General features: G+C 51.0%; 3 annotated features.

Moving 5' to 3' along the window:
- Positions 1,561-2,062: an enhancer, noted in NCBI's record as "H3K4me1 hESC enhancer chr12:132044895-132045396 (GRCh37/hg19 assembly coordinates)". NCBI's record gives its function as "activates a minimal SCP1, AML or CMV promoter by ChIP-STARR-seq in naive H9 embryonic stem cells {active_cell/tissue: H9 hESC(naive)}" and the evidence as "EXISTENCE:reporter gene assay evidence [ECO:0000049][PMID:30033119]".
- Positions 2,063-2,562: an enhancer, noted in NCBI's record as "H3K4me1 hESC enhancer chr12:132045397-132045896 (GRCh37/hg19 assembly coordinates)". NCBI's record gives its function as "activates a minimal SCP1, AML or CMV promoter by ChIP-STARR-seq in naive H9 embryonic stem cells {active_cell/tissue: H9 hESC(naive)}" and the evidence as "EXISTENCE:reporter gene assay evidence [ECO:0000049][PMID:30033119]".
- Positions 8,091-8,590: an enhancer, noted in NCBI's record as "H3K4me1 hESC enhancer chr12:132051425-132051924 (GRCh37/hg19 assembly coordinates)". NCBI's record gives its function as "activates a minimal SCP1, AML or CMV promoter by ChIP-STARR-seq in primed H9 embryonic stem cells {active_cell/tissue: H9 hESC(primed)}" and the evidence as "EXISTENCE:reporter gene assay evidence [ECO:0000049][PMID:30033119]".

Here is an 8,590-nt window from a genome sequence, read left to right on the forward strand (position 1 = left end):
CCAGGAGGCACCAGGGTCAAAGACACCATGAGCCTCCCGGAAACTCAGGTTTTCTGTCTGTTCATCGTCAATGTGGGACACTGGTCTGGTAAGAGACCCACCCTCCAGTGTGAACTGGACTCTAAACTGTGTCCCTCCCTCCAAGGTCCCCAAGTCCCTGTCTCCTCTGCGAAACCTCAGGAGTCCCGTTTGAGAAGAAAGGGGCCCGCAGACACCTGATTCTCACGCTCGGTTTATGCACAGGTGCCAGCCTGCAAGCCGGAGAGGCACGCAGAGAGGAAACTGCATTGCTGTTTCAAAACCCAAAGAAAAGAAAGTACTCTGAATTGCGTGGGGATCTGGAGTTAGGGCAGCTTGCCCCGAAACTGAACAGAAAGTGTTTTCACATCACCCCCTCGCCCCAGGTAGCACCCAGTCACGCGGCTCTCAGTGGAAAGCGCGGCACACGAAGCCAGGCCGGGACCCACAGCCCAGGTTCTGCATTTGGCATTTAGCAGCTGCGATGTCTCCGAGAACCCTGCAGAGACGGAGCCCACAGAGGAGGGTACAGCGTGGACCAGAAGCCACCAGAAGCCGGGCGAGGCGGCTGAGTTCAGTGCTGTCAGCCAGAGGCTGGGGAGGGAGCACCCTGGTGCCCGCGTCCCCGGTGAGTCTTGAACCCAGCATCTGAGCCTCCACCTCTCTTTCCTAAATAGGCAGGACCTGCCAGTGCACGCACAAGTTGCCCTCTATGAACCAGCAGCGCTGAGGTCACTGGTGCTGAGGCCATGGGACTCGTGGAGGTGTTCTGTCCATGGGAGAGAAGCCCTGAGCATCTGGGAGCCATGAGGAGGAATCTCCAGAGACAAACGGGAGAATTAACCAGAGGCCCCGCCCCATTATCATAACTCGGCTCCACTCACATGGCCCCGCCCTGTTCATTCACATGACCCCACATGACCCCACTCACATGGCCCCTCCCCACTCACATGACCCCACCCCACTTACATGACCCCACCCGTCACAGGGCTCCTCTTCATTCACATGACCCCACCCCAGTCACATGACCCCACCCCACTCACATGGCCCCTTCCCACTCACAAGACCCCACCCCACTCACATGACCCCGCCCCACTCACATGACCCCGCCCCACTCACAAGACCCCACCCCACTCACATGACCCCACCACACTCACATGGCCCTGCCCTGTTCATTCACATGACCCCACATGACCCCACTCACATGGTCCCTCCCCACTCACATGACCCCAACCGTCACAGGGCTCCTCTTCATTCACATGACCCCACCCCACTCACATGACCCCACCCCACTCACATGGCCCCTTCCCACTCACAAGACCCCACCCCACTCACATGACCCCGCCCCACTCACATGGCCCCACCCCACTCACAGGGACTCCACACCCTCTTACATGGCCCTGCCCCTGATGGTGAGAACCACAGTCCCTTCTCAGGCCCACTAACCCCATAACTCTTCTCCACCATCCTAGATGGTGGACTCACCCTTGATTCTCCAGGACATCCCCTGCAAAAGCTCCATCGCTACATGGGCAGGGCACGAGAGGCCACCCGACCTATAAGAACACAGCCTGAAGTCACATGTACTCCACACTCCAATCAGCTAAGGCTGTGGGTGGGGCCAGGAAGGTTCCGCCCAGGATAGTGCTGTGGGTGGAGCCTTGCAGTGATGGACACGCCCTCATCTCCGTGGCAACCAGCTTTCCTCCCACCTCTGCTCACTGCGCACCTGGCTCTCCTCTCACCTGGATGACGCAGCAGCCTCCACTCGTCTCCCGCACCGAGTCCCCGCAGAGCAGCAGGTCAACTTCTAAAGCGCGTCTCAGACCGCCTCTCCCTACAGAAGCCCCAGGGGCTCCCAGCCTCCGAGTACAACACAAACTCCTACCCACCTGCAAAGCCGGCGCCTCGTTTTCCTCCTGAGCTGCGGACACGAGACCCTCCCACTTCAGAAAAGAAAAACGGTGTCGCTGCCCTTCGTCTCTGTCTGTATAAGCGGACTCAGCACCAGGCGGTATTCGCGGGGGCTGCGGAGCTGCCTGGAGACCCCCGCCCAGCCACAGAAGGCTCTGGAAGGAGGTGGTCTCTGCTGAGGGCCTGGTTTTGCTGTCACCCCCTAGAATGCTGGAGTCTCGCCTCCTACAGGTCACGAGCCCGTGGTCACCCCACTCGGGTGTGACAGGTCCCCCAATGCTAAGCAGAGATGTGGCCCAGAAGGGCTCCAAGGACCCAGGGGGTGCCCAGGGAGTCTCTTCCCAGAGGGAGCATTTTCTCTCTGGGACAGGATGTTCATCTTCAGAACAGACCTGTACACGGACAGGCCTTTGCTTGTGGCTTCATCTCTGTGGAAATAGAAACCTCCGCATTGGATCGTCGTGGATGAGTGACACTCTCAATTGTCTGCAAATCTGTACACAGCAGGAGGTCCATGATTGCCCTGGTTAAGAATTCCAGCAATTAAACTGCAAAGGCAACCTTCATGCATTAATATGTGTGGTAAAAATTCACAATAACAGTTTAGAAAATATTTGGCAACTGTCAACCCACTTAAAATATTTTCACATTATTGCCTTTGCAGGGCACAATGCTGAGTACAAAATGCGATACTAGAAGCACTTCTGGGATAGCAGAGTAAAGGCTTCCAAAATTCTCTCCCTCCATAAAAGCAATCAGAATACTGGAATAAATGTCAAAAGGACTGTTTCAGACCTCCGAAAACTAGCTAAAGGCTTGCAATAATCTGAAGAGCATTTATTCAAAATAATAATAATGGCCGGGCCTGGTGGCTCATGCCTGTAATCCCAGCACTTTGGGAGGCCAAGGGGAGAGGAGCACTTGAGTCCAGGAGTTCTAGACCAGCCTGAGCAACATGGCAAGACCCCATCTCTACCAAAATAAAAAAAATAAATAAATGTTTTTAATTAGCCAGGCATGGTGGCGCACACCTGTGGTCCCACCTACTTGGGAGGCTGAGGTAGGAGGATCGCTTGAGCCCAGGAGGTCGAGGCTGCAGTGAGCTGTGATTGTGCCACTGCACTCTAGGCAATAGGGTGAATCCGTTTCTCAAAATGATAGCAATGGCTGAATCTTGGTAAGAAAAGCAAATTGTGTGGCATTTTAATTTGCCCAATTTCAGTCCTCTTCTCCCAGCCCCACAGTAGTCTTAAAAAACAAGGAGAGGCTATAAAAAGCCAGCAGGCTGGCAGCCCCTGGAGGAACACAGAGGATCGGAACTCTCCACAAGGCCCATTCCCAGTGAATCGCTGTCCTCGGACCACCATGACCGCTCCCTGAGGAGCTGTGCTCTCACTGAAGAACTTTCTCCTCGCTACTTGACCTCATGAGAGCTTGCTCTGTGCACCAGCCCTACCTATCCTAGGATATTTGTCCTAAAAAATCAGTGGGGATTGTTTATTACTGTAGTAGCCTGAAGCAGCAATACAAGTTGAAGCTGAGAAGAGGCTGGCCAAAAAAAATTAAAAGGAATTATTGTGGAATGACATGTTCTTATAAAGCTTTGAAAAGCTCCGATATATTCCTGAGAACTTAGAAGGCCAGGTGCACATGCAGGGCTGTGTGTCCTCTGGGAGAGAACTAAGAGGGCCCCTGCTCACCTGGGCTGACTGGGATGCTCCCTGCCAGCGTGGGCAACAGCTAAGGCAGAGCTGTAAGCTGTCTGCCAGGATGGTGAAGGCATTCCCCAACACACACCCACACAGCCCTCAGCAAAGTCCGAGAAAATTCTCATTTCAAGGAATTTGAGGAAATCTCTGTTCAGTCATTATCTGACCACTAAGCTAACCAAGTACATGTCCGTGTCTTCACAAAAAAAAGAAAGCAGACTGTATAGAATTAGTCCAGGGAAGTCTAAAGCAAGAAAACAATGACAGCAATAAACAGTTCAAGAAACAAACACTGGAGGGGTGGGAACTGATGTCCAGAAAAAGATTATATTAATTACATATATAATTTATATAATTTATTTTTTGAGACAAAGTCTCTCTCACTCTGTCACCCAGGCTGGAGTGCAGTGTCACAATCTTGGCTCACTGCAACCTCCGCCTCCAGGGTTCAAGCGATTCTCCTGCCTCAGCCTCCTCAGTAGCTGCGATTACAGGCGTGCACCACCATGCCCAGCTAATTTTTGTATTTTTAGTAGAGACAGGGTTTCACCATGTTGGCCAGGATGGTCTTGAACTCCTGACCTCAAGTGATCTGTCCGCCTCAGCCTCCCAAAGTGCTGGGACTACAGGCGTGAGCCACCGCGCCCGGCCAGAAAATCTTGATAAACATGAACAAAGGTGGAAGACTCACACTTCGCTGTGTGGAAACTAACTACACAGTTGTAATAAAACCGTGCGGTACTGCCATAAGGACAGACATATAGATCTGTAGACTAGAATTGAGAGACCAAAAATAAACCCTAGCATCTATGGTCAGTTGGTTTTCAACAAGAGTACCAATACAATTAAATGGAAAAAGAATTGTCTCTTCAAAAAGTCATATTGAAACAATTAGACATCCACATGCAGAAAAATGAATTTGGACCCCTACCTCCCATTATACATAATATAGCTTAAAATTCATTAGACCTAAATGTAACAGCTAAAACTATAAAAGTGTTAGAATAAAACACAGGAGGAATCCTTGTGATACAACTTTTCTGGATTGTGATTCTGGTGGTCACAGGATCTACACATGTGATTAAAATGCACAGAAATGAGTGCATATAAAGCCAGAAATTTGAAGAAGGTGGTGGACTCCATCATTGTAAACGTCCTGGCTGTCATGTACTATAGTCGTATATGATGTTACCCTTGGAGGAAACTGGGGGAGGTGTATTGGGGATCTCGCTGTATTCTTTCTGACAACTGCGTGTGAATATTCAATTATCTTAAAATAAGTCTCAATACACACACAATATATCACACCAATATATAATGTAATTCCTAATATCGTGTTTGTCTAATTTTTACACCTTCACTTTGATACATTGTGCTCCCCTTATCCTTCCAATAAACTACCTTTCTGCTTATGAGAACAAGTCAGCGTCTGTTGCTGGCATCCAAATGTCCCTAACACCCCCTCACAGGCTGCTAGAAGCCTCCACTGAGATCATGTGTGTGAGCCCCTTGATGGTTCCTAATGATGGCAATAGTTAACCTTTTCCATGCACCTGCCCTGCGCCTGGTCCTGCTCTGTTTTACATGAGCGAAGTCATTCAATTGCTCAGCCCTTGCCAGCTGCGCACACTCTTGCCCCACTTTACAAATGAAGCCACGAAGCCACATGGTGGTTGGAGGACTCACGGCAAGTGACGGAGCTGGGAAGGGGCCAATTCAGGACTCAGGTCAAGACATCCTGGTTCCAGAGCCCCACCGTGACCCACCATGTTACTCAGCACAGGTGAGTTACACTGATCTTTATCTGTCTTTTCATGCCCTGGAGATGGAATTTTTCTAGAATGGCCACTGGCTCCCCCGCCTGGTACATCATGGACTCGTAGTGCATGGCCCTGCCCTCAGATGCCTGTGACGTCAGAGATGGAGGATGGGCCTGCTGGGACCCCCGGCTCTGTCAGCTCCAGGAGCCTCGGGGTCGGGGGGACGATCCACAGGAATCCACGAGCCTCCCAGAACATGGAAGGCCATGGCCCCAGAGCATCCAAATTCCATCTAATGGCATTTTTCAGGAGTAAAGAAAGAGGCAGAACAGAAAATCCATATAGCTGCTGTGCCCGGAATGAACACGTTTTCATCAGAAGAGCAATCTCCCCTATCTCAGGGCTGAAGTCAGGCAACAAAATCAATATCTGAAAACACCTACGAAAGTGTTAGAGCTTTTCAGTTTGGCTCCTGGGCCATTGCTAGTTGAAATTCCATCTAGCATACAGAGTTTGAGGGCTTTTTTCCCCTTTGTTCTTTTTGTCATTAAATTAGCCAAAGCGTTAAGTCCATGGGACCCAATCTATCGGTGTTTATTTTCTTTATTCAGTCAAAACTGACCTCTACTCAATTTACATTTACAAGATATACAAAGAAATTAATAAGATGGGAAAGAACCCATTGCTAATGCGAGAATGTCTCTACGCGTAAAGAGAAGCAGATTCCCCTGCGGCTTCCAGCCAGAGGCAGGTTTTAAGAGTAAAGTTATTAGACGGCTAGCAGCTGGCTTTCTCTAAGCAATGTCAACAAGAGGCAGCCTCCAGAGACACGCGTGCTACAGAAATGTCTGTCAATAGCAATCAGATAACAACTCTTGACCTAAATATTTACCCAACAGCCTCAGCCACATGGTCCTTTTTCACACTGGAAAAGTCACAACACCAATACCTAGAGTGGCCAAGGCCATCCTACTGTAAGCCTTCCCTCCCCGCCCCTCTGTCTGGTGGGTAAGATGAACTTTCTTTCATTTCTGGTAGAATATCTGAGATTATGGTCTGTCTAATGTTGGGCCAGAGGCAGAGAAAAAACCCAAATGCCCAGAGTTGACCGTTCAAGCCCCACCCAAGAGACACAAGCGTGCATCATCAAACCCAGCAACACGAGTTTCCAGAACAGAGCAGGCTGAGGTGTGCAGCCACTCAAGCCACTGGCCCCAGCGCCTGTCCGGGGCTCCATCTCCATGGGAGACTGAAAGCAGCGCCGGGTCCTGGTGCTGTGTGTCATCCTCATGCAGCTAGAGGTGCAGAAGCTCGGCACTGGGTGTACTGAGGTGGCCGAGCCGTGGATATAGTCCGGAGAGCTTTGTCATATGGGAGAGTTGGCAAATGGAGTTATTGATCTTTAGACATGACACAAACAGCCGGGGAAAATGAGCTTGCTCCTCAGCCACAAGGGGCTCAGAGGGGAAGAACCTTGGGAACAGCAAAGGGGCAGCCAGGCACACAAAGGTCATGACACCCAGGGAGGTCCATGAGCCTCTGCGAGGGAGGTGGGGAGGCTGGGCCCCAGGCATCCCTGCTGGCTGTTTTCTGTGCACGCTGACCTGGCCCCCAGCTGACTGCTGTTCCTGGTTCTCTAATTAAAGGGTCAAGCTGCCGAGCCGCTGCTCTTTGCATGGGGAGAGGGATCCTGAATGGCAGGCCCATCAGCGCCTGTCCTAGCAGCATCAGACGACTCCCGACTGCAGGGGCCGCGGCGTCGTGGGTGGGACGGTGGTTTGTTACACGCATTCCCCCTGCTCTCCCTGTGGGCTGAGGGCTGCCATGGAAATGGGACCTGTAGCCCCACCCCCAGGAGGGTGTCTGGTAGATAGCAGACCTTCAATCACTATTGAGCAAGATTCGTGGATAAAGAATAAACAAAATGTAGATGGTCAGTAAATGTTTGTTGAAAGATACACTACTTTCTTACACAAATGGACACCATGATATATGTTCTATTCACTCTTTGTGTCTGCCTTCTTTCTTAAACATTTTATTTAGAAGCAATTATCTTTCTCGTTCCTCTCTTTCTCCATTACTGCCTTCTTTTGTATTAAATGGGTATTTTTTTTAGTGTACCATTTTCATTCTGTTTATTTTACCATGGTTTTTGTGACTTTCTTACTGGTTGTCCCTGGAACTTCTCAGGTGAGGTGGGTGAGTGTCCCAGCAAGGGAAGGTTTCCACCTGTGTTATCAAATCACCTGGAGCAGGAACTGAGGGTTTGTGGGGACATCCACTTACAGCTGTATTTGGAAACATGAGGGCTTGTTTCCAAATACGGCTGTAAGTGGATGTCCCCACAAACCCTCAGTTCCTTGCCCTTATTTACTGATAAAAACAAACACACACTCGCTCTCTCACACACACTAACAGCCGAGGAATCACATCTTTAAACACACCTGGCCTCTGGCAGGGGCCTTCCCTGCACTCTGACCCCCTCTCTCCCATCACAGACTCCAGCCTGGTCTCAAAAGGGACCCAGAGCCTGGGTGCCTCTCACCTGAGATCCGTACAAGGGAAGCTGCCCAACCCAGGACAGATCCACATCAGGAAACACAGACAGTGACAGGCAAGGGTCTGTCTCTGATGCCTCCTCCCACGGGACAGGGGTGACTCCAGTTCTGGCTCCAGAGGGAGCTGGGCTCTGGCACCGCACACCAGCCTCAATCAGCGGCTGCAGCACACGGAGCCGGGAGTCCACATGGAGCACATCTGAACGGCCCTTCCCAAAGCTGCCCCTGTGGCCCCCGTGAGGGCTCAACTGTGGATGACAAAGGAAAAGTCTGTTACTGCAGGACCTGAGCCTTCTCCGTGACTGTTTTTCAGACAAGGTTCACTCTGGTTCAGAAATCAAATCAGGCACGAGCAACACCAGCAGGTGTGCTTTCTCTCTGATCAATCACGTCCCAAGCCACGCTGTCACGCTGCTTTCTCCCCTCTACTGAGCCACCCACCTGGTGCAGAAAAAAAATCAAAACCCCGACATCACTTTCTAACCATAAAGCAGATCGCAGGACAGCACCTAGTACTCCGGAACCGGAGGCAAATCTGTCGAGAAAGAGCTTCTGAGAGTGGAGGAGTGGGTGGACGAGGCTGGGGGAACAGAGATGACTTCCAATCCAGACCTTCTGTCCTGCCCAGCAG

Source organism: Homo sapiens, chromosome 12, assembly GCF_000001405.40.
Source record: "Homo sapiens chromosome 12, GRCh38.p14 Primary Assembly".
Taxonomy (NCBI): Eukaryota; Metazoa; Chordata; class Mammalia; order Primates; family Hominidae; genus Homo; species Homo sapiens.